The sequence below is a fragment of the Homo sapiens genome, chromosome 1 (assembly GCF_000001405.40).
Source record: "Homo sapiens chromosome 1, GRCh38.p14 Primary Assembly".
In the NCBI taxonomy this organism is placed as follows: Eukaryota; Metazoa; Chordata; class Mammalia; order Primates; family Hominidae; genus Homo; species Homo sapiens.
This window is the reverse complement of record NC_000001.11, coordinates 220,013,337-220,039,237: the sequence shown is the minus strand read 5'-3', so window position 1 is coordinate 220,039,237 and position 25,901 is coordinate 220,013,337. Positions and strand designations below refer to the sequence as shown.

At 38.6% G+C, this 25,901-nt stretch overlaps 1 protein-coding gene across 1 annotated transcript in view, besides 2 other annotated features; it reads left to right on the top strand.

Moving 5' to 3' along the window:
• Positions 1-25,901, top strand: part of EPRS1 (glutamyl-prolyl-tRNA synthetase 1) — a 77,906-nt gene that overhangs the window by 7,268 nt on the left and 44,737 nt on the right. The window contains exons 3-12 of the mRNA NM_004446.3: positions 4,225-4,324; positions 5,580-5,736; positions 6,712-6,851; positions 8,758-8,852; positions 13,980-14,106; positions 14,782-14,974; positions 16,720-16,891; positions 19,017-19,250; positions 20,159-20,243; positions 20,730-20,789. Of these exons, the coding sequence (NP_004437.2) occupies positions 4,225-4,324; positions 5,580-5,736; positions 6,712-6,851; positions 8,758-8,852; positions 13,980-14,106; positions 14,782-14,974; positions 16,720-16,891; positions 19,017-19,250; positions 20,159-20,243; positions 20,730-20,789 (1,363 nt within the window). The remainder of the gene's footprint in view (positions 1-4,224; positions 4,325-5,579; positions 5,737-6,711; positions 6,852-8,757; positions 8,853-13,979; positions 14,107-14,781; positions 14,975-16,719; positions 16,892-19,016; positions 19,251-20,158; positions 20,244-20,729; positions 20,790-25,901) is intronic.
• Positions 12,006-12,507: an enhancer, noted in NCBI's record as "H3K4me1 hESC enhancer chr1:220200073-220200574 (GRCh37/hg19 assembly coordinates)". NCBI's record gives its function as "activates a minimal SCP1, AML or CMV promoter by ChIP-STARR-seq in primed H9 embryonic stem cells {active_cell/tissue: H9 hESC(primed)}" and the evidence as "EXISTENCE:reporter gene assay evidence [ECO:0000049][PMID:30033119]".
• Positions 22,805-22,974: an enhancer, noted in NCBI's record as "experimental_4879 CRE fragment used in MPRA reporter constructs". NCBI's record gives its function as "activates a minimal promoter by MPRAs in K562 erythroleukemia cells, with activity observed for the introgressed 1:220189691 variant allele {active_cell/tissue: K562}" and the evidence as "EXISTENCE:reporter gene assay evidence [ECO:0000049][PMID:34662402]".

The window sequence follows — 25,901 nt, the reverse complement described above, 5'->3', positions numbered from 1 at the left end:
TTTTCCTGTACAACCACCAACTCAGCTTTTAACTGAAACTTCTAGGGAAGTTTCAGACAGGGGAATGTTGCTTCAGAAAGCAATACCCCAAAGACTGGCGCTTTGACATGCTGAGAGGCCTTAGAAGCTACCTCAGAATCAGGGTACCTGTAACCTTGTTTCCTTTCACAACCCAACATGCCCACTTCCCCCATCATATAGAGAGGGACTTTCTAGAATTTCCTCATCTGGCCAAGAAAGCATCTTTCCAAAAGAAATGCAGTTGACTTAAGTCCCCTCCTTGTGGATCTCATCAAATAATCTGGAAAGGTCAGTCAATCCCAGCTCAGACAGACTTCACCTGCTCTTCTGAGGGCAGCTTCAAGATATTACCTAGGTGACTTTACACGTGTAATAAGACAGTCTTTGTTCCTGTGCCGCTCTGTTTCTTATCTTCCTTTAATGTTGCTCCCTCACCTCCCTGCGCCCACTTCCTGGTCCATTTATTCTGATGATTTACTTTGCTCAAAAGAATTATCTGCATTCCCTATCTTTCTGCTCCCCTATGAAACAGGGTATGTGGCCAGGCGCAGTGGCTCAAGCCTGTAATCCTAGCACTTTGGGAGGCCGGGCGAGTGGATTGCTTGAGCTCAGCAGTTTGAGACCAGCCTGGGCAACATAGTAAAATCCTGTCTCTACAAAAAAAAGAGGAAAAATTAGCTGGGTGTACTCCCAGCTACTTGGGAGGCTGAGGCAGGATGATCACCTGAGCCCACGAGACGGAGGTTGCAGTAGAGCCAGGATCGCACCACTGCACTCCAGCATGGATGACAGAGGGAGACCCTGTCTCAAAAAAAAAAAAAAAAAAGATAAACTGAGCTGGGTGTGGTGGCTTAGGCCTTTAATCCCAGCACTTTGGGAGGCCAAGGCAGACAGATCACCTGAGGTCAGGAGTTCGAGACCAGCCTGACCAACATGGAGAAACCCCATCTCTACTAAAAATACAAAACTTGCCGGGCATGGTTGTGCATGCCTGTAATCCCAGCTACTCAGGAGGCTGAGGCAGGAGAATCGCTTGAACCCGGGAGGTGGAGGTTGCAGTGAGCTGAGATTGTGCCATTGCACTCTAGCCTGGGCAACAATAGTGAAACTCCATCTCAAAAAAAAAAAAAAAAAGATAAAGCTGAAACACTTTCCCCTGTTGCCACTACATACACACAGTCACCCCATACTCATAAACTTCTGCTCTCTATCTCCCCCTTTCTCCCAGTGTAGTTGTACCATAATTGTCATTTGATTACCATTCTGTATTTACATTATAATGACCGTGTAAGTTTTATTTACTACTGAGCCACATAGTATAATTGCTTTTCATGTAAAACTGTTAGTTTTCCATGGAGTAATTGGTGTTTGTTTGCTTTGTAATTTTCTTCTGAAACTTTCTGATTTCTGAACTTTTCTATGTGACTTCAGGAAGTTTGGAGGAATCTTCCCTTAGGAGTCAGTATTCTCAAATTTTACAATAATATGCTTTAGTTTGGGTCTATTTTTCATCTGTTCTGCTGGGCATTTGGTTGCCTCTTTCATTGTGGAAACTTGGAAATCCTGCTTTTGGAAATTGAAAACATTTTTTCTTTGAAAAATGTTTTTCTCTCTATTTTTGGTTCTTTATGTGGATGTTGGGATTAGTCCTTTATTTTTCTAAGTTGTCACCTCCATTTTCCATCTTTCTATTTTTTTTTTTTTTTTTTTTGGAGATGGAGTCTTGCTGTGTTGCCCAGGCTGGAGTACAGTGGCACAATCCAGGCTCACTGCAACCTCCGCCTCCCAGGTTTAAGCGATTCTCCTGCCTCAGCCTCCTAAGTAGCTGGGATTACAGGCATGTGCCACCATGCCTGGCTAATTTTTGTATTTTTAGTAGAGATGGGATTTCACTATGTTGTCCAGGCTGGTCTGGAACTCCTGACCTCAGGTGATCCGCCCACCTCGGCCTCCCAAAGTGCTGGGATCACAGGCGTGAGCCACCACGCCTGGCCTCTTTATTTTTATTTTTAGAGATGGAGGTCTCAGTATGCTGTCCAGGCTGGAGTGCAATGGATAGTCACAGGTGCAATTATAGCACACTACAGCATCCAACTCCTGGGCTTAGCGATACACCTGCTTCAGCCCCCTGAGTAGCTGGGACTACAGGTGTGTACCAACATGCCTGGCCCATTTTTTTTTTTTCCTTTACTTTCTGGAAAGTTCCTCAACTTCTCAACTTTATTATCCCATTTTTCTATTGAGGTTTTTAATTTTGGCTATTATGTTTTTAGTATCTGAGTGTTCTGTTTTTTTTACATTCTGGATACTCTTTTTTTAGTATCTTGTTTTATGATTGCAGTATTTTTGTTTCATTGCTAAAAATGAATTTATTCTTTTATGAACTTTTATTTTAGGTTCAGTGGTACATGTGCAGGTTTGTTATGTAGATAAACTTGTGTCATGGGGTTTGCTGTACATATTATTTTGTCACCCAGGTACTAAGCCATCCAATAGTTATTTCTTCTGCTCTTCTCCCTCCTCCCAACATCCACCCTCAAGCCCCAGTGTCTGTTGTTCCCTTTTTTGTGTTCATGTGTTCTCGTCGTTAAGCTCCCACTTATAAGTGAGAGAATGCAGTATTTGGTTTTCTGTTCCTGTGTCAGTTTGCTAAATATAATGGCCTCCAGTGCCGTCCATGTTGCTGCAAAAGACATGATCTTTTTTTTTTTTTATGGCTGCATAGTATTCTGTGGTATATATGTACCACATTTTCTTTATCCAGTGTGTCACTGATGGGCATTTAGGTGGATTCCATGTCTTTGTTATTGTGAATAGCGCTGCAGTGAACATTTCCATGCATGTGTCTTTATGGTAGAATGAACTATATTCCTCTGAGTGTATAGCCAGTAATGGGATTGCTGGGTTGAATCGTAGTTCTGTTTTTAGCTCTTTGAGAAAATGCCATACTGCTTTTTACAGTGGTTTGACTAATTTACACTCCCACCAACAGTGTGTGGTTTTTTGTTTTTTGTTGTGAGGTGGAGTCTTGCTCCGCTGCCCAGGCTGGAGTGCAGTGGCACGATCTTGGCTCACTGCAACCTCCACTTCCCGGGTTCAAGCAGTTCTCCTGCCTCAGCCTCCTGAGTAGCTGGGATTATAAGTGCCCACCACCACACCCGGCTAATTTTTATATTTGTAGAAGAGACGGGGTTTCACCATGTTGGCCAGGCTGGTCTCAAGCTCCTGACCTCAAGTGATCTGTCCACCTCGGCCTCCCGAAGTGCCGGGATTACAGGCATGAGCCACCACACCTGGCTTGTGATGGGTTTGGATGAGGTTTGATCTGCCTTCGTAGCCTCTTTATTAGCAATAGATTCTTGGCTCCTTTGCCTTGATTTATTTTATTTATTTATTTTTTTTGAGACAGGGTCTCTCTCTGTCACCCAAGCTGAAGTACAGTGGTGTGATCTCAGCTCACTGTGAGTTCAAGCGATTCTTGTGCCTCAGCCTTCTGAGTAGCTGGGAGCACAGGTGCATGCCACTATGCCTAGCTAATTTTTGTGTTTTTAGTAGAGACGGGGTTTTACCATATTAGCCAGGCTGGTCTCAAACTCCTGACCTCAAGTGATCTGCCCGTCTTGGCCTCCCAAAGTACTGGGATTACAGGTGTGAGTCACCACACTTGGCCAGCCTTGATTTATATTAAATCACTGTTATTCTCAACATCCCAGTTATATTTTCATATTTGCACCTCTGAATAGACATGTAAAGAACAAATTAGCAGACTGGGCGTGGTGGCTCATGCCTCTAATCCCAGCACTTTGGGAGGCTGAGGCAGGTGGATCACCTGAGGTCAGGAACTCGAGACCAGCCTGGCCAACATTGTGAAACCCCGTCTCTACTAAAAATACAAAAAATTAGCCTGTCGTGGTGGCAGCCACCTATAATCACAGCTACTTGGGAGGCTGAGGCAGGAGAATTGCTTGAACCCTGGAGGCAGAGGTTGCAGTGAACCAAGATCACACCATTGCACTCCAGCTTGGGCAACAAGAGTGAAACTGCATCTGAAACAAACAAACAATTAACAGATCTATTTTTTACTATAGTAGAAAATACATGGTAAATATAATAAAGTTTCCATTTTTACATTTCTTCATAAGTCTCATGACTTACTGATTTGCTAGAGCAGCAGTAATATTTTATCTCGTGCTTATATTCTAGAAATGTGATATTCACAGATGTGAATTCTATACTTCGCTACTTGGCTAGAGTTGCAACTACAGCTGGGTTATATGGCTCTAATCTGATGGAACATACTGAGGTAAGCAATGAACATTTTGTTGTGTGTGTTTTGTCTTATGCTTCTGTTTTTTTATGGGAACCTCATCATTTATTGTTGGCTTATGAACTATTCTACTTAAGGATATTAACAGAGTGTTAATTATATAGACCAAGGTACAGAATGCTCATCTTGTTTTTTTGTCACAAAAAAATTCTTTTTTTGTAATTCCTAAGTTTGAACCTTTAGTCCCCTACCAGCTGTACTTTTGGGAGCATTTAGTGCCATCTTGGCCTTCACAGATTCCTAGCATTTCATAGCCAGATGGGGCTGTATAGATCATCTCATCCAACTTTCTTACTTTACGGATAAGGCAGCAGGCCTAGAAAAGTTAAGTTTGAACAGGGTAACACGCATAGTTTGGATCCCATTTTCTTTTCTTTCTAAGTGTATGCCTTGTTTAATTAATTATTTCAGTAGTAAATTAGCTTTATATACAATCATGTGCCTCTTAACAATGGGATGCGTTCTGAGAAATGTGTTATTAGGCAGTTTCATCATTCTGTCAACATCATAGAGTGTACCTACAAAAACCTAAAGGGGATAGCCTACTACCCACCTAGGCTATACAGTGTAGCCTATTCCTTCTAGACTACAAACCTATACTGGCAAGTTACAATACTCAATACAGTAGGTAATTGTAACACAATACGTATTTGTGTATCTAAACATAGACAACATAGATAAAACTATAATCTTATGGGACCATTGTCATATATGCAGTCTGTCATTGACCGAAATGTCATTATGCAGTAGATGACAGTACTGCTTTTTAGATGCTGCTTTTTTTCCTGTTTGTATTCTGCTCTAACCTTCCTAAATCTCATAAAATTCAAAGTACACAGAATGGTTTCTAAGTACTAACTTTTAAATTTTTCAAGTAAATGAATCTGTTTGGCTAGGTACCATCCCTTCGGTTCATTCAGGTTGGCTTATTTCTGCCACCAATTCTCAAATTCTTATTTTCCTGTTCTTTCCTGAAGTGCCCCGCCACACTCCTGTAAAAAAAAAAAAAAGCAGAAAGCATAGCAAAATAAATGTGGCATTTATTTAAGTTCTATTTTAGATTTTAGGCAATCAGAATTTAGTCCACATAATGATAAATTGTATAATTTGAGAAAGGAAAAGCATAGTAAGAGTGTACTGTTGCTCTAGTTAACTAGAATTTTTTTATGGTCTTTCTTTTTATAAGTTGAAATGTTGGAATGCATTTCTTTTCTGTCTTTTATGTTGACAGATTGATCACTGGTTGGAGTTCAGTGCTACAAAATTATCTTCATGTGATTCCTTTACTTCTACAATTAATGAACTCAATCATTGCCTGTCTCTGAGAACATACTTAGTTGGAAACTCCTTGAGTTTAGCAGATTTATGTGTTTGGGCCACCCTAAAAGGTATCAATAATTCTTAATAATCCTCTGTTTTAATCGTTTAATATTTTGCTGGATAAAAATTATATATATTTCTGTGTGTATGCATGTATGTATATGTGTGTGTATATATATGTTTAGACAGTAACTTAGGACTTTATTACAGGGGAATGACCTCCCTGGCTGTTTTATTCCTATCCAGCTACGGGAATTCCCTGTGTTTTTCTGCCGTCCCGTCGTCTGTCTCACAACCCCAACTTCCTTCTTGCCTTTGGAGCTGATCTTATTCCTGATAAAGAAGTCCCCATCCCATTTATGTTAGCACCTCTCCTACTTCAGCTATTATTTTACTCCAGACACTTGTCTCTGACTTGAAAAAAGCCATTATTGCTCAGTGAGTGTGTGACTGGGAGGTTAGGGAGTAGTGGGATGATGTGGAGTTGTGGTTTTTCTTGGAGGTCACTTCCTTCTTCTACAACTAGTTTGGAACAAGTAAGAATATGCTTTTTCCAACTTGGAAAGACAGTTTTTTCAAAAACAACTTTCTTGAGGTATAATTGACATACAGAAAATCACACTTATTTAAAAATGTATATTTTGATAAATTTTGACATATATATGTGTGTGTATATATACATACACACACACACACAGCTGTGGAACTATGGTTACAATCAAGATAATAAATATATCCACCACCCCCAAAAGTTCCTCATGCTGCTTTGTAATCATCCACCCTCACCAGGTCCCAAGAAACCAGCATGCCCAGCTTTGCATATTTTTCGTCTTCAGTTGGTTGTATCTACGGTTATGGAACCCATGGACACAGAGAGCTAACTGTTTTAGAAAACAGTTCAGTGTATATCCAGATATTTAACATTTCATTTTCTTTAGAAGCACAACTTTAAGCCATCTCAATTACTTCAATTAGTCACAACTGGAACTTTGCTTTTGAAGCTGCAGATTTATTGAATAGTTTAAAATTATCTTTGCTCATAGGAAATGCTGCCTGGCAAGAACAGTTGAAACAGAAGAAAGCTCCAGTTCATGTAAAACGTTGGTTTGGCTTTCTTGAAGCCCAGCAGGCCTTCCAGTCAGTAGGTACCAAGTGGGATGTTTCAACAACCAAAGCTCGAGTGGTAAGCCTTTTTTTCTTTTTTTTTAAAAAAAAAAACACTTTGGGAGGCTGAGGCGGGCGGATCACAAGGTCAGGAGATTGAGACCATCCTGAATAACACGGTGAAACCGCATCTCTGCTAAAAATATACAAAAAAAAAAAAAAAATTAGCCGGGCGTGATGGTGGGCGCCTGTAGTCCCAGCTACTCGGGAGGCTGAGGCAGGAGAATGGTGTGAACCTGGGAGGCGGAGCTTGCAGTGAGCCGAGATCGCGCCACTGCACTCCTGCCTGGGCAACAGAGCGAGACTCTATCTCAAAAAAAAAAAGATGACATTTCAGTCTGTCTGAGGCCCTAGGTCTGAAAAGACAATTATTCCTACTCATAAAGTTTATTTTCTTTTAATAAATTTAAAAGGATCTTCTTGCAAGAATCTGACATTTTTAAGTCTTGGTTTCACATTTAATTGTTCATCTATATAAAGCCCTAATCTTTATAATTATATAGCTAAATATTTTGATCATCCAGTGTATGTCCCTTAGGCAATCCAAACTCCATATAAATAAAACCTCATTAATTTTACACCTTTGCAATTTTTTCTTTCTTCTGAATCTCCTGGTTTTTGAACCATTGAGCATCAAGTCCTGGGATTCTGCAGCACTTTTTCATTGGTTCTGTAGGAAAATGTGACATAGTGTACAGTACAAAAGCTCCTTTTCTCTACCAGAGTTGCTCCACTTTGATCTGTTTTACACTTTAGGAATGTGTTGTAAAGTTTTGATTTAATTAAGGTTTTCTAATGTAAAATTTGAAAACTACTGTCTACTTGGATAAAGATAGCCCAGTCCACTCAGTTGTTTTGGCTACAAATCTTTACTCATCCTTCACTGTTTTTCACATTTACTCAACGAGTCCTGTTATGACTTCTCATGTGTGTAGATTTGTTTTCTGTCCATCTTCAGTGCTACTGCACTTTGTTGAGGCCTAATTTTTCCTTGCTTGGTTTAATACCATAATCTCATAACTAAACTTCCTTTTGTCTCATCTTTCTCTAGTTCAGGGTATCACTTTAGAAAACACAAATCCACGGTCCTATTATCCCTGAGGACTGACTCCTCATTGCCTAAAACTTAAAAGCCAAACTTAAAAGGTCCTCTGTGTTTTTGACTTAATCTATTTCGGCTTCCTTCCCTACCCACCCAATATGCATTCCTAACTTTTCATGGACATTGCACTACTTTTTCCTGCCTTTGTGCCTTACCTACTCTGTTATTTATTTACTTAGAATGAATACCCCATATACTTTTTTTTTTTTTTTTGAGACAGAGTTTTGCTCGTCACCCAGGCTGGAGTGCAGTGGCATGATCTCGGCTCACTGCAGCCTCCGTCTCCCAGGTTCAAGCGATTCTCCTGCCTCAGCTTCCTGAGTAGCTGGGACTACAGGTGCACGCCGCCAGGCCCAGCTAATTTTTGCATTTTTAGTAGAGATGGGGTTTCACCATGTTAGCCAGTCTGGTCTCAAACTTCTGACCTCAAGTGATCTGCCATCCTCGGCCTCCCAAAGTGCTGGGATTACAGGCATGAACCACCGTGCCTAGCATCCCATATACTCCATCTGATACATTTCTACTTATCTTCGAGGTCCAGCTTGGTTCTTAACTGCTTTTAAGCTTTTCCTGATAAACCTAGGTATTGCTGATTAATTTCAACTGAGTGCCCTAACAGCACCCTGAACATATCTGTATTACTGGTATTTGGTTTTATTTATATTCTTAACCAGATTTTGTACCCTCAAGTGTAGGGATGATGTTCTAGTCATCATATTTTTCATAACCAGTGTGTGTAGTGCCTGGCACATTTGTTGAATGAGTGTGTTCTTAGACATTTAACCATAAGACTTTTTGTTGTGATGGTGGTTGTGTTTTTCAGGCACCTGAGAAAAAGCAAGATGTTGGGAAATTTGTTGAGCTTCCAGGTGCGGAGATGGGAAAGGTTACCGTCAGATTTCCTCCAGAGGCCAGTGGGTAAGAAAATGTAACTCACATTTATAATTGAATATATTTAGTGGGAAAGCTTTAAAACAGTGATTAAATACTTAAAGTATTAATAGGTTAATAATATAGAAGAACATAAGATTTTAATTGTGAGAGTTAAAATTCTAAACGTTTTAACAGTTTTTATGTTATTAATAGTTAATGTTGATTTAATTTGTAGTTTTAGTTTGTCAACTTAGTAAAAGAGACATTTTAGTTTTATCCTGACAGAACTTTAATTATGTAATTAACAAAATATCCAAAAATAAGAAACCTTAAATTTCATTTTTATTTTTAGATTTTTGGGCTTTCATTTAATTGGATTTGTATTTGTACCCTGAGCAATCCTTTTAATTAGCAGTTGAAGTTATAATAGTATTGGTCTTTAAGTTATTTTTTTTCCCCAAGTGAAGGGGAGTCCTGAAAAGCCTGTTCCTATTCCTTTCTTTCCATTAGGTTTCCCAACCCCTTCATCTCTTGGCACCCATGGAAAGTAGTATTTGAATAGCTCATTAGAGAAAAAGACTGTTCTGTATGGTGATCACCAGGCTGGGGCTGCTTCAGCCCTTGCCCACCATTCCCCAAGGCTGAGAAGGAAGTCTTTGTCTTTGCACACCTGTCATCCTATTTGAAGTATACTGGACAAGCTTTATAATAGCGTCCTTCCAATGATGTTAATATAATAAAATACCTCTTATTAAAGCAGTTAGCCTCACTTAGAAAATTAACCATTAGGAAAATGTTCTGCCATGTTTTGTAATTGAGGTGATTATTTTTTCCAAATTTAAGATTTCCAAATTTAATTTTTTCAGATTTTGTATTCTATCACCATAATGAAGTTCTCACCTTTCTATAGTACACAGTAGAAACTGGAAGATACAGAAACAATTTTCTTTTAGCGATGTATTTAATACTTCTTCACAAACTATTTCATAAGCATCATTAACAGTAAAATTGCTTTTAGAATTTCACATTTTGTCTCTGCTTTTCTATGTTTGCTGATTCAGGAGGTGAAATAAAGGGTAGATAGAAGGAGATGAAACAGAAGTGATGACTGTGGAAAATTCACAGACTTGATCGTTAAATGGTTGATTGGTAATTGACTAAGTGGATTCAGGCATAAATAATACTTACCTTACATGGTTTAATATCTATAGACATCTTGGGTTCCTACCATCTAGTATTCTGCTACTGTGCACTTGGTATGAGAGGTCATGATTGTCCTGTTGGATAGTGACCTTGATCGTCTAAAAGCCACCTTTTTTTGGCAGTGGCCATTTTTAGCTGCGCCACTTGAACATTTGTCTTTTTTAAATCTTTTCATATTTTGCGTCACTGTCACTTCTGGGAATAGTGAGTTCCCCATGTTTGTATATTTACAGTATAATATATATTTACCTGTTGTAAATTATGTCAGAGACTACGCTCATGAGACAGTTTTGGGGTCAGGAATATAAATCAGTATTTAGTTTTTTTTACTATGCATAGTTTTCATCATCTCTTCTTGTACTGTTAAAGAGTTTTTCTTTAATTACTATTTTTTCATTTTTTCTTTTCTGTGTCTTAAATGAAAGGCCAGAAGGCTTGGCTTAGTCTTTTATTCTTATTCTTAGCTAACATATACATAGCACCTATTATGTACAGGTGCTACCACATGCTTTACTTATAGTAACTTATTAATCCCAACAGCCTTCTGAGGAGGCACTGTTGTTATCTCTGTTTTACAAATGGTTTCGGAAACAGATTCATATGTTGTAGTAACTTGCCAAGCTCAAACCTCTACCATCTGGCTCTAGAATCCATATAATTAAAAATTGTACTACATGTATCTGTTAACATATGGCAGAAGCCCAATTCAGCATCAGTTCTAACTCATGCAGCATGATTCTTTTGTGTGTGTGTGTGTGTGCGCGTGTGTGTGTGTTTTAGCGATTCTGATATAGAGTCACTCTTTAACTGATGATTTTAGTTGTCTTGTGACTTATAGTCCTCTTAGCTTTCTTGAGGTTTGGAATTGTTAGACCTGCAGATTTAGAAATAACATTTTTGAAATAATGTTTTGATCTCATCACCTTTCTTAAATTAATTTCTGTATTTTAAAGCCAAGCACATTAACTGTAAAATAATAGGTACTAATTGTTAATCTTTTCTTGACAATGGTTATAACATGTTATTGGGTGCAACGCCCTCAAGTTAAAAGTACACCACAATATTTTTCTTCCTGGGAACTTATGGCCCTTCATTTAGTTTTATTTTTAATAAATTTTTAATTTTAGAATAGTTTTAGATTTACACAAAGTTGCAAAAATAGTACAGAAAGTTTCCATGTACCCTGCACCCAGTTTTTCCTAACATTAACATTTTACATTATTATGGTACATTTGTCACAACTAATGAACTAATATTAATATGTTATTAAACTCCATCCTTTTTTGGGATTTTGTTAGTTTTTCCCTAGTATCTCTTTTCTGATCTAAGATTTCATCTGGGATATCACATACAGCCCTTTTTTTAAAAAATTTTTAATTAATTAATTAATTAATTTTTTGTATTTTTAGTAGAGACAGAGTTCCGCCATGTTGGTCAGCCTGGTCTTGAACTCGCGACCTCAGGTGATCCGCCTGCCTTGGCCTCCCATAGTGTCGGGATTACAGGCATGAGCCACTGCACCCGGCGTACAGCCCTTTATTATATGTATAAAGTTTTGAATAGCCCTAAATATGTTGCATTGTAGTTGTTTGCATTAGTCTTTGTATATAAACCCTCCTTTTTTTTTTTTTTTTTTTTGACATAGCCTCGCACTGTTGTCCAGGCTGGCGTGCAGTGGCGCGATCTTGGCTCACTGCAACCTCCATCTCCCAGGTTCAAGCAATTCTCCTGCCTCATCCTCCCGAGTAGTTGGGATTACAGGCGCCCACCACCACGCCCAGATAATTTTTTTTTTTTTTTGAGATGGAGTCTTGCTCTGTCGCCCGGGCTGGAGTGCAGTGGCACGATCTTGGCTCACTGCAAGCTCCACCTCCCGGGTTCACGCCATTCTCCTGCCTCAGCCTCCCAGGTAGCTGGGACTACAGGTGCCTGCCACCACTCTCGGCTAATTTTTTTGTATTTTTTTTAGTAGAGACGGGGTTTCACTGTGTTAGCCAGGATGGTCTTGATCTCCTGACCTCGTGATCCACCTGCCTCGACCTCCCAAAGTGATGGGATTACAGACGTGAGCCACCGTGCCTGGCCAATTTTTGTATTTTTAGTAGAGACGGGGTTTCACCATGTTGGCCAGGCTGGTGTTGAACTCCTGACCTCGTGATCTGCCCGCCTCCGCCTCCCAAAGTGCTGGGATTACAGGCATGAGCCACTGTGCCCGGCCCAAGCCCTTCTTAAAGTTGAATCATTGATCTGGGATGCTAATGACTTTTAAAAACTTGATTGATTTGAAAATAATGTAAATTCATAAACTTTTATGAATTTTTATATTATTTTATTTTATAAAATAATATAATTTCATAAACTTTTCCCCCTCCCATATGGATATCAACTGAGATCAAACCTGTGTGGGAAACCAGGTAACTATCTTAAAACTGTACAACTGCTGGCCGAGGCAGGCGGGTCACAAGGTCAGGAGATCGAGACCATCCTGGCTAACACAGTGAAACCCCGTCTCTACTAAAAATACAAAAAATTAGCCGGGCATGGTGGCAGGCACCTGTAGTATCAGCTACTTGGGAGGCTGAGGTAGGAGAATGGTGTGAACCTGAGAGGCAGAACTTGCAGTGAGCTGAGATCACGCCACTGCACTCCAGCCTGGGCGACAGAGCGAGAGTCCGTCTCAAAAAAAAAACAAACAAAACAACAACAACAAAAAAAACTGTACCACTGCTGCCATCATTATAATTTGAAACTAATACAAGTTGGTGAAAGCTGATTAAACTTCCTTGCTTCATGCCTTGTCAGCCCAATCAACTGTATTTCAACATAGTGGTGTAACATATTTTCTTTTACTCATGTACTTGATAGAAGGAGGGTGTTGATGTGTGATATTATCAACAGTGTCTCTGATCTGTATTCTTCCTTACAATTGTCAGCTGCTCACAGGAACAGCAGAACAGTGTTTTTGTAGATTCTGATTCATTGAGTGTTGGTGCTGATGAGACCTTTGGGATTATTTAGTTAAAATTCTTTTATTTTTAATCTCCGTGACATGAGTTTACCTATATAACAAAACTTCACATGTACCCCTGAACCTAAAATAGAAGTTAAAAAATTAAAGTTAAAAAATAATCTTTTGGCTGGGTGCGGTGGCTCACGCCTGTAATCCCAGCACTTTGGGAGGCCAAGGCAGGCGGATCACGAGGTCAAGAGATCGAGACCATCCTGGCCAACATGGTGAAACCTCGTTTCTACTAAAAATACAAAAATTAGCTGGGCATGGTGGCGCGTGCCTGTAGTCCCAGCTATTTGGGGGGCTGAGGCAGGAGAATCGCTTGAACCCAGGAGGTGGAGGTTGCAGTGAGCTGAGAACGTGCCACTGCACTCCAGCCTGGGCGACAGAGCGAGATTCCGTCTCAAAAAAAAAAAAAAAAACTTTTATTTTGGCATCTGAGAAAACCAAAGCCTAGAGAAGTAAAGCGGCTTTTACTAATTGTCATGTGCTCTTTTCATTTAGTCATCACAGTGACAGTCTCAGAAGAGCTTCTCTCCAGTGGCATAGGTGGGCACCCAGTTCTCAGTAGTAGTAGGTCTTATTAAAGACAAACAGTGGAAGGTAGCGTTGGAAACAATTTTGAAGCAGCTTTACTTTAATTAAATGATCATTCTTTTTGATAAAAAGAAAAAGGAGAATCTCCTTAAGGTTGCAATGTTTGTAAATACCTTGTCCCCTCTGTGAGATTTTACATTTGAAGTTGTTTCTTATAATTGTTTTATATATGGTATAGTCTTTTTTTTTTTTCCTGTCAGGGTCAGATTTTCTATCACAGTACTTTTTGTTAGAAAATAAAATATGACTTGGGTACCAATTAGAAGGACTTTTGTTTAGTTCTCATCTCCTCAAAAAGGTTAAGTTTAAGTATTTAGTTAAAACATGTTAATGAGTTTCTTTGTGAAATGTTTTTGTTTTAGTTACTTACACATTGGGCATGCAAAAGCTGCTCTTCTGAACCAGCACTACCAGGTTAACTTTAAAGGGAAACTGATCATGAGATTTGATGACACAAATCCTGAAAAAGAAAAGGAAGATTTTGAGAAGGTAATTAAAAGTGTAGTGATGACCCTTTGCCAGAAAAGTGAATTAAAGTTACAGGATTACCTAATACCTTCATGGTATGAAAATAAATTTTGTTCTCATAGCTGCTTTTTTCCCTATCTATATATTCCATATCTGAGACCTAAGCCAAGAAATGTCGAGCTCCCATACCAAAAAACTTAAGAGTTATTTTTCCTTTCCCCAGTTATAGAGTTTACCTGAATGATATGTTTTCCTATAATACCAATTTATTAAATGGTCACTGGAGGCAGGTTTTTTGGTCATATAATCTTAAGTTTATGAATGAAATAAACACTAAGTAGGTATTGGAAAATGTGAAGGTTTCCTAGCCTCTTATCTTTATTCAGAAGTATGGCAGTGTATTCAAAGAGAGGGCAAATGATTGTCAGTTCTCCCAGTAATGACCAGCTTTTCCAAAGTAAATGGAAAACTCCATCGTGAGATCAGCTTTCTCAGCTGGAAATTTGGAGGCTAATATAATGAGTATCTATCTGTTTTTTCTTTTTTGATCTAATATCATGTAACTTCCACAACCATTTTCAGGCTAAATAAGACTGATGGTCTATGTTACATTTGCTTAAATGCAGTATCAAGGGTTGAAAATGCACGAAAAAATGCAAAAGATATACTGATGGTTATTTTGGTTTCTTACTACAGGTTATCTTGGAAGATGTTGCAATGTTGCATATCAAACCAGATCAATTTACTTATACTTCGGATCATTTTGAAACTATAATGAAGTATGCAGAGAAGCTAATTCAAGAAGGGAAGGCTTATGTGGATGATACTCCTGCTGAACAGATGAAAGCAGAACGTGAGCAGAGGATAGACTCTAAACATAGAAAAAACCGTAAGCCACATTGTTTTATATTTTAATTGATATTCTTATATTGTGCTTCTTTAGTAGAACGTGATTTCTTTTTTGTGAAAGCTGCTAGTTTTTTTGTTTGTTTGTTTGTTTTGAGAAGGAGTCTCGCTCTGTTGCCTGGGCTGGAGTACAATGGCGCGATCTCGGCTCACTGCAACCTCCGCCTCCCAGGTTCAAGTGATTCTTCTGCCTCAGCCTCCCAAGTAGCTGGGATGACAGGCGTGCACCACCACACCTTGCTAATTTTTGTATTTTTAGTAGAGACGGGGTTTCACCATATTGGCCAAGCTGGTCTCGAATTCCTGACCTTGTGATCTGCCTGCCTTGGCCTCCCAAAGTGCCGGGATTACAGGCATGAGCCACCGTATCTGGCAAAAGCTGCTAGTTTAAATACATTTGGGTATATGACTCATTTGTCTTAGAAATCTTTTTTCTTCCTCTATCTTTATGTTCTTGTTATTTTATTAACATCACAACTGCATGTGAATATGCCCTTAGTATCTCACTTATTATGTGTAGTCTTTTGCATTGTATTCATTCAATTTGAAGGATTCCTTCTGCAACATTTTACAGTTTTCTTACTTTAAATACTTAGCCTTTCTATAATACAATGTTTGATGATAATGTTGTCACCCAAGTCTTCCTTTTGGCATGTGGGTAAATATGAATATAATATATAGTACAAGCTCAGTACTAACCTGTATCTCTGAAATATCACTTGACTGAAGAGCATATCTTTCTTATTCATGGCTTCTCTCCTGAACTTCTAAATTGGGTGATTTTCATTCTGTAATTATGTTGTCAGAACTTCACTATAATTAAACCTGGAGTGCCACATTTGGGAAGTATTAGTAAATTAAAATAGTTATAATGAGTCTTTTTTATTTTGAAAAGGTTTTCTACATTTTCAGAGGTGGCTAACCAATGGACTTTTAGACCTATCTTGATTATTTGAGGGCAAGTGTCTTACATTTCTAGTAGCTTCCACAGAAAATTATTGTTTAACAGTTTGTATGCATACAGGGCAGGTTTTTGCTAGATATTGTGATATAGAGGGAGCCATAGCCACTTGGAATGTAGAGTCCTTTTTTCTGGTATTAAACTCTTTTCTTTCCTGTGTCACTGTTTTCTATCACCTCTTATTTTCTTGGATCCAAGAGTATCCTGCTTCTCATTGGGATGATGAAGGGGCTTTCAGGGAGCCCATGAGCTCAGACTCTCAACCTGAGCTGTGTTCTTTAGATAGGCACGGTCTGTAGTGCCAATGCCTGTGGGACCTTAGGGCCGGACCAAACCATTCTGTCCCTTAGGCATGAGGTGGCAAAATAAGAATGCTTCTGCTTTAAAGGCAGAATGTTAAATTTCAGGGAGATGAGAAGAGAAGGGGCTGGCCCGTTGTGCCATGATGGGAAGGGAAACACTAGGTGAGCGGAGCCTTCAGGCCTTGTACTTTTTCTTATGCTTAATTGATACCACATGAGTGGAATGTATTGATGTTACCTTTTCTAAAACGTATTTGTATTTGCTAAATGTATTGTGAAACTTCTTTAATTAAAAAATGACGCATTTGCTCTTGGTACTGGATACTGGAAATATTACAGTGTTTTTAAACTAACACAGGGTGGTTATAAAACAAGAACATGAAAATTTATATCAAATTATAGCACTATGAGAATAATTTGAATTTAACCAGATTAGTGAACCGTAATGTAATTATCATTTTATAGCTATTGAGAAGAATCTACAAATGTGGGAAGAAATGAAAAAAGGGAGCCAGTTTGGTCAGTCCTGTTGTTTGCGAGCAAAAATTGACATGAGTAGTAACAATGGATGCATGAGAGATCCAACCCTTTATCGCTGCAAAATTCAACCACATCCAAGAACTGGAAATAAATACAAGTAAGTATATCTCCTTCAATATGCTAGGTAGCCATCTGTGCTTTTGTTTTGATCTTCTTTAAACATGGAGTACAAGCAAAATAGTCAAGAAACCTGGCCTTTTGTTCATCCATGGGTTCACTGGCTGGTGGCCTTCTGTAAAGGCATGTAGCCTTTCACGGGCCGTTTACTCACCTGTCAATTAAGGTTCTACCACATTATTTCTAAGATCACTTCCATCTATGAAAGTCCTGAGTCTGCCTAGAGTTGCTTTTTTTGTATTGATTAGGTATACTGTGATGTACATCTTTAGGTGAAGATACTTTGCTTCCTGTAATAAACTTTGAGTCTACTTTGCACAAATTGATTCCTAAAAGTAATAGTATTGAAAACTTCCAGAAATATGAACAATACAGGAGAGTAACATGTGTTTAGATTAGTTTTCAATGTGGATTTGTAGGTTAACGAATCTTTGTTTTAAATGGACCTTTTCCAAAAAAAAAAACCCTACTTTATAAAATAAATCATAAAAAATATTTTTTAATACTTTGAAGAAGCGTACTACACATAAATGCTGAATTAAAATTTCTGAAGAGAATGGTAAATGTAAATGATTACTTGGTTAGCTGATGTGACTTACTTTAAACTCATGGGTGCTGACATGTCTGTCCATATATAGACAAATACACATGTGATTATATGTGCATACATATCATTTTTCTCAGGATTACTCCTTGTTTTACTAAGCAAATCCTTTCAATACATTTGGAAAAGTGACTTTGGATACACATTTTCAGTGTCAAATAATTGCAAAGCATAATGCAGTAGCATCTTAATCAAGTTGTATCTTAAAAGTTAGAATGTATAATGGCTGGGCACAGTGGCTCATGCCTGTAATGCCAACACTTTGGGAGTCTGAGGCAGGAAGCTCTCTTGAGGCTAGGAGTTTGAAACCAGCGTGGGAAACATAGCAAGAACCTGTCTCTACCAAAAAATAAATTAAAAAAAAAAACTAGCCAGGTATGGTGGCACGCTTCAGTAGTTCTAGCTGCTTGGAAGACTGAGGCAAGAAGATTGCTTCAGTCCAGGAGTTCAAGGTTACAGTGAGTTGTGATCATGCCACTTCACTCCAGCCTGAGCAACAGAGTGAAACCCTGTCTCTAGACAAACAAAAAGGAAAGCATTGGTTGGGTGTAGTGGCTCATGCCTGTAATACCAGCACTTTGGGAGGCCTTGGTGGGTGGATCACTTGAGGCCAGGAGTTTGAGACCAGCCTGGCCAACATAGTGAAACCCCATCTCTACTTTAAAACAAATACAAAAATTAGCGGGGCATGGTGGCGCATGCCTGTAATCCCATCTATACCTGGGAGGCTGAGAATCACTTGAACCCAGGAGGCGGAGGTTGCACTGAGCTGAGATCGCACCGGTGCACTCTAGCCTGGGTAAAAGAGCGAGACTGTCTCCAAAAAAAAAGAAAGAAAGCATAATGCACTAATATATATATATATATATATATATATATATATATATATATATATATAAATTCAAATTGATACTGCATGTAAATTGTATACATTATCTTAGTCAGAAACTGTTTTTTAGACTATTTCATCTTAAATGTAATTTTGACCTAATGATTTTCTGGTCTTCTGTCGGTTTTTTTTTTTTACACAGTGAATGGAGCACTGTTTTTGAGTGTGTTTGAGTACTTTTAAGACTTTTAGGGATTTACTTGAGTAAGGGATTACTCAGAACAGAGTGAGACTCCGTCTCAAAAAAAAAGATGTTCAAAAGCTAAATTTCCTTAAAATTATTACATGTATTATTTATTGCTTCCTACTATGTTATACATTGGCCATTACAGAAATATTATGATTATACAATTTGCCAAGCCAATACCTAATTTTGTATTAGATTGCAAATTTGCTTTTTTGTTTGACTGCTAAGTTGACAACTGACTCATTGTTCTCAAAGGCTGATAATGTTTTGATACACTTTGAGTATTAAGTCATAAAACCTTTTGGTTTTTAAGAATCTCTTAACTTGTAAAGAATTACATTTTAAATTAGTATTGTTGTTTATAATGCTTAATCTAAGAGGGAAAGGGTAAAATGTTTTGTTTATTTTATTTTCTTTTTTTCTAGTGTTTATCCAACATATGATTTTGCCTGCCCCATAGTTGACAGCATCGAAGGTGTTACACATGCCCTGAGAACAACAGAATACCATGACAGAGATGAGCAGTTTTACTGGATTATTGAAGCTTTAGGCATAAGAAAACCATATATTTGGGAATATAGTCGGCTAAATCTCAACAACACAGTGCTATCCAAAAGAAAACTCACATGGTTTGTCAATGAAGGACTAGTAGATGGATGGTATGTTTAATGTTACTTAGAATTGACAAGAAGTAAGGACATAGTAGATCAGTGATTTTTAAACTGCTTGAGAGATAGGGAAGGTGATTGGGAGGAGGGGGAATGGGTAGGCCTATAGAATTCCTGATTCTTATCTTCTTCTCAGCCAGTGCATTAGGGCTTCCCCTTCTTGTTTTAATGCCACAAATAATGGAGTGCCCACTGGGGATCATGGAATGAAAAACACACATGAGGGCACATCCTCTGCAGGTCTTAGCATTTAATAGAAGAACAGTTTTGACTTTCTGGTTCTTGGTATATTTGGTTACTGATCTCTACTCTCTGCTGAGGCTGAGGTTTTTCTTTTTGGCTAGGTCCCAAGAAGGTTAAAATACCCTTGAATCGAAGTGAAGATGTAAAAGTTTATCTTGAGCTCCATGAAAAGGGTATTACTGCATACTTACTGAGGTTTGCAGATCCCTGCAGAATATTAATTTCCTACATATATTTTTGTTTTATTCCAAAGGGCTTTATAAAGTATATTCATATGTGAATGACAGGATACCATCTTTTTTCTGATTCTCATGGTCCTATGTGGAATAGGGACCTTGAAAATGTTTGATAAATAAAAATGTATGAATGCATGGGATTTCCATATTTGAAAATGTCACCATTGTGTCTTTTTTTTCAAATGTGCTTCTACTGTTTCCAGTAGTGCATTTATTTTACTGCAGTATTTGACAGGTCAGCAGTTATCCTGTTCCTTGAATTTGGGCTCACTAGTATTGCATACTACCTAATTAGTATAACTAGCTCTTAGACAAATGTTTAACAAGCTGAATATGATTTATTATTGATTAAGTATCTTCTACTCTCCACATCTACACATTACAAAATTTCCTTGGTACTTAAAATTTACATATTTCCAGGGATGACCCAAGATTTCCTACGGTTCGTGGTGTACTGAGAAGAGGGATGACAGTTGAAGGACTGAAACAGTTTATTGCTGCTCAGGTGCGTTACAGTTTCTTTTCCAGCTTGTCTGTTTGAAATTTCAGGTACTTCTATTACTGTCCCTTTACTCTTTATTATCTCTGTTGTTCTTTCTATTCCTTGTTTGTGCCTTATGATCCAAGGGCAGATTTTTTTTTTTTTTTTAAAACAAACTTTTTTTTTTTTAAAGTTTATCACTGCTTATAATAGTGAAAAATTGAAAATGTCCTAAACTCCTAAGCTAGATTTGGAGAAAGGCAGCTGAAGTATTTTTAGCAGTGAATTATATGACTTGACTGTGAGCAGTCTGTAGACTGAACCTTTACAGTGAACTGTTAAGGGTAACCAAATTAGTTTGTATACACTGAGTTTTATATTTCACTAGAAGTAAACTTGAAAGTATTTATCGAGTTTTTTTTTTTTTTCTAAACATGCTTAGCATGAAATAAAGGCAAAGTTCTAATTAATACTGCTTGCCCTTAAAATCATGTTGTTATTGTTTTTTAGGGCTCCTCACGTTCAGTCGTGAACATGGAGTGGGACAAAATCTGGGCGTTTAACAAAAAGGTATGTATGTTAACTCTCTGCCTTCTTTTCTCATGCTTAAGTCCCAAATAATGTACAAGTAGAAGTCATTACTGTGCTCATGGTAGAGAAAAGTTTGTGAAGAATATTAACATTTTGCAGACTTTCAGGAAAATGGAATGTTTTCCTTTTTTAAATACACGAAGAGCATTAATTAAGCCTATTAACTATTCCAAATAAGTAACAATGATTGAAACAAACAAACTTGGAATTATGGGGAACAGTAATATTTTTTTCCTTAAATTTTTTATGAACACTCTGCATTTCATTTTTCTGCTTTCAAGCTGCGAGCTCTCTGTAAGAAGGTATTACTTAATGCTTTTATTTGCCTTAAACATAGCTTTTAGCATATTACATGTTAAAACCTGAGATGTTATATGGCTTTGAAGCACAATCACATTTATATAAAAGACTTGCTTATACAAACGCATTGAAAATGCATTATTCCTAGTGTTAAAAACCATGTCCTCTGGTTTTCTTAGTGCCAAGGGGAATATTGGGATAACTCTATTCTACCCCATTCCCTTGTGTGCTGAGAGGACATAGAATTCTAAAAGTATGTATTTCATTGAGTTGTATTAAAGTTTCATTAATTACAGTTCCTTTGTCTTACTGAATCCAGCTTTTTTTTTTTTAACTGTTTCTTAACTGAAAGTCAAATGAGGAACATTGCCTATTGACATTGTTAATTACTAATTGGAAAGCAGATGCTTGGACACTATAATAAGGCAAATCATTCAAATGCCATGTTTTAAATTATGGTTTCTGTGATTGTGTTCTGTAAATTCTTATTTGGGATTGCTGCTTGATGGTGCTGATGTCTTGCCTCAAGATATAGTTGCTTGTTTCGCATGTGTCTTGAATTTGTTTTATTTTGGTCTTTCGTGTTTAGTTTTTGATACATAAAGGAATTGTTAATTGGTTCTTGCTGTTGCTGCAGTTACTAATAATAAATATGAGTAGAATTTGCTGGCAAAGTTAACACTGGTGTACTTTTCATTAACAATACAATTTTTACTGATTTTAAGTTTTAATAAAGTTAAACATGGACACTTCAGATATCTGAAATATATTTTACTATAGTCAAATAGTTCTGTAGGGTCTGTTAAGATGAACAACACATTCCTCTCTCTATCTACTTTCATAGTCTCCCTGGAGAAAGCACTTTCATCTCTTCTAGATAGTTCTTTTGGTATTTATTACTTATATTTCTTTTTTTTGAGATAGAGTCTTGCTGTCGCCCACGGTGGAGTGCAATGGCACAGTCTAGGCTCACTGCAACCTCTGCCTCCCGGGTTCAAGCGATTCTCCTGCCTCAGCCTCTTGAGTAGCTGGGACTACAGGCATGTGCCACCATGCCTGGCTAATTTTTGTATTTTTAGTAGAGATGGGGTTTTACTGTGTTCGCCAGGCTGGTCTCAAACCCCTGAACTTGTGATCCGCCCACCTCTGCCTCCCAAAGTGCTGTGATTACAGGCGTGAGCCACTGTGTCCGGCCTGTTGCTTATATTGCTGAATGAAATATATGTGTTACTACTTTTTTAGCTATGTTTAGACATATTAGTTGACTTCCCGTGATGGAAGATAAATAATTTGACCTTTTACTTTTTCTCCTAACTTTTTGGTTTGCTTGTAGTTGATTGTCTTGCTTTGTCTCTCCCTCTCATTTGCTTATTTTTTGTTTTTGTTTTTGTTTTTCTGTTAAAAAAAAAAAAAAAAGCCAGGTTCTCATGCCTCTACTCCCAGCAGTTCAGAAGGCCAAGGTAGGAGGATCGCCTGAGCCTGGGATTTTGAGACCAGCCTAGACAACATAGTGATACCCCATCTCTCCAAAAAAAAAAAAAAAAAAAAAATTAGCTAGGCCTGGTCGTGCATGCTTGTAGTTCTAGCTACTTGGGAGGCTGAGGTGGGAGGATCACTTGAGCCCAGGAGGTCAAGGCCGCAGTGAGTCCTGATCACACCACTGCAATCCAGCCTGGGTGACAGGGTGAGACTCTGTCTCAAAAGAAAAAAAAAAGAAAATTAATTTTTTTTTTTTCCTCTCCCCACCCCTGCGTACTCTTTTTTTCTTTTTTCTTTTTCTTTTTGTAGCGGAATCTCACCCTGTTACTTAGGCTGGAGTGCAATGGCACAATCTGGGCTCACTGCAACCTCCACCTCCCGGGTTCAAATGATTCTCCTGCCTTAGCCTCCCGAGTAGCTGGGATTACAGGCACCCACCACCACACCCAGCTAATTTTTGTATTTTTAGTGGAGACGGGGTTTTGCCATGTTGGCCAGGCTGGTCTCGAACTCCCGACCTCGTGATCCGCCCACCTCAGCCTCCCGGAGTTCTGGGATTACAGGTGTGAGCCACCAAGCCCCCCTGCATACTTTTCTGTCTCCACAAGATGTGCAAATTTCCCACCAAGATATTCAGATGCCTTAGGTATACTTTCAGTTTCATTTTGGAGACATTTGCCAGAGCCTTCTGTGCTGCTCTGTAACCTGATTTGGATTCATGGCCCATTGGTTTCTGAAGCATAGCTATCTTCCTAGGTCTCTTCAGCATCTTCCTAGGGATTCCCTTTGCTTTTATTCTGTAATGGACATTACAGAACATTGCCCCATTCTTGGATCTTCTTTTTTTTTTTTTTATATTACCTTCTTGCTTTCCTGAAGGTAATACGTCATTCTTTGGAGACTCAGTCCAGCTCCCTGACAAGGGGAGGATGGGATGAAGAAAATTTTGAAACCTTGTATCTGACCTGTGTTTTTAGTCTGAAATTTCATGATGATAGGCCATGGTGAGGGTCTGTTTTCATCCGCATCATTGGAAGAACATGTGACTTCCAGTCTAGAAACTCATTCCTTCAGTTCTGGGAAATTTTCTTGAATTCTCTCCCTTTCCCTTTCCCTTTCCCTTTCCATCTTTTATTTTCTTTCTCTTGTCTTGTCTTTTCTCTTTTGTTTTGTTTTATTTTTTTCTGAGACGGAGTCTCACTCTGTCGCCCAGGCTGGAATGCAGTGGCACGATCTCGGCTCACTGCAACCTCTGCTGCCTGGGTTCAAGCAATTCTATTGCCTCAGCCTCCTGAGTAGCTGGGATTACAGGCTTCTGCCACTGCACCTGGCTAAGTTTTGTAGCTTTAGTAGAGGCAGGGTTTCATCATCTTGGCCAAGCTGGTCTTGAACTCCTGACCTCTTGATCCACCCGCCTCAGCCTCCCAAAGTGCTGGGATTACAGGTGTGTGCCACTGTGCCCGGCTTTGAATTCTTTTTCTTTCTTCTCTATTGTGTATTTCTTCTCCTGGAACTCTTCTTGGGAAGATGTTGGGCCTCTTGGACTGGTACTCTTGTTTCGTGTTCTGTCTTATTTTCCTTCTTGTCTTTTAGTTTATCACAGATCTACTTAATTTTTATCTTCCCACCTTTCTGTTGAATTTTATTTATGCTACTATAGTTCCAGTGTTTCTCTTGTTCTCTGAATTTTCAAAATAACTCTCTATTCTTGTTTCATGGTATTAATAGTAGGGTTTTCTGCAGAGTAGTGTCTCTTCTCCCCAATTTGTTTATTTTGGTTTCTTTCACGTTAAAGATATTTCTCAGATGTCTGGTTAGAGCCTTGGTTATCTGCTTATGTTTAATGTGGGGAAATAAAGAGTGATTGGAAGCCTGAAGAATGAGAGTTGGGCTTTCAACTGAGCTTCACTGTACAATGATCTGGCTGGGCTAGTTTGTTGGAGAAATTCCATGTCAGTAATTTTATATCTTTTCTCAAGGATTAGGCAGTTTTCCCAGAGGGGCTTCATTGAATCGCCTTCCTGAAGTGTGAAGACCTGGCTGCCAGGCTTTGGAGCCAAATGGGGGAAGACTGCTGAGGGTTTTATAAATCTACTATCATACATTCACTTATTCCCATTGTCTCTCGTGCAGTACCCTTTCCTTTGGCTCTTTCTGGTATCTGCCAGAATCTAGATACCCTCTTATTCACAGAGTAAACTTCCAGTCTTTTGTCAAGGTAGGGGAGAGGCAGTTGCCTGGTTATATGGAGTGGGGAGGGGATGCTTCTATGTTTTTCAGCTTCCAGAATTTTGTTGCTGTTATCTTTTTTGTTTTTTTTTGAGATGGAGTCTCGCTCTGTCACCCAGGCTACCGTGCAGTGGCGTGATCTCGGCTCACTGCAACCTCTGCCTCCTGGGTTCAAGCAATTCTCCTGCTTCAGCCTCCCGAGTAGCTGGGATTACATGTGCCTGCCACCACGCCCAGCTAATTTTTGTATTTTTAGTATAGACAGGGTTTCACCATGTTGGCCAGGCTGGTCCCGAACTCCTGACCTCAGGTGATCCGCCCACTTCGGCCTACCAAAGTGCTGGGATTACAGGCGTGAGCCACTGTGCCCAGCCTTCTCTTCTTTTATTATATTAATCCTTCTGGATTTGTTCCTTTAAACAAAACAAAACCTTTCATTTCTTTTAAGTTGGGGGTTGGGAAAGAGTGAAAGTTGATGAGTATTTTCAGTCTGCCTTTTTTCTCCTAAATCCTGTGAGATCTTTAATCATTAAACACCGTCTTTAAAACATAGCATTGTTTTTAGTCAACTGGTAGTAAAAAGGAAATCATTGTGATCATTACTTTTTGTTTCTATTGCTGGCCTTCATGATGTCTTCATACACTGAAACCCATTCCCTTCAACTCTTGAGGTACATACCCCTCTTATTTAGAGTTCATGGCACTCTCAATCTCTAATTACTGCTTTGTTGTTTTCTAGCTTGCTCTGTCTTTCTTCTCAAGCTCTGCAGGTAAGATTTAAGTGAAGCATCAGTGAACTAAATTTAGCGCCGTGGAGTTGTGAAGTAAGTGTTACTGGCAGAGCTGAATCATCATTCTTTGGACATTCTCCTACTCTTCACTAACTTAGCATTTTTTTTTTCAAAGCAGGTTCTGTTTTAAAAAAAATAAGCTAGATTTATTTGCATGATTCTTTGGAGAAAGAGCCTTATTTTAGGAGTGAATTGTACGTGGTAAAGAAAAGAAGGGAGAAATGGATGAAGGGGAAAGAGATGTGGGGTGATTAGTTATCTCAATATCCCTTCGACAATACCGTGATCCTTG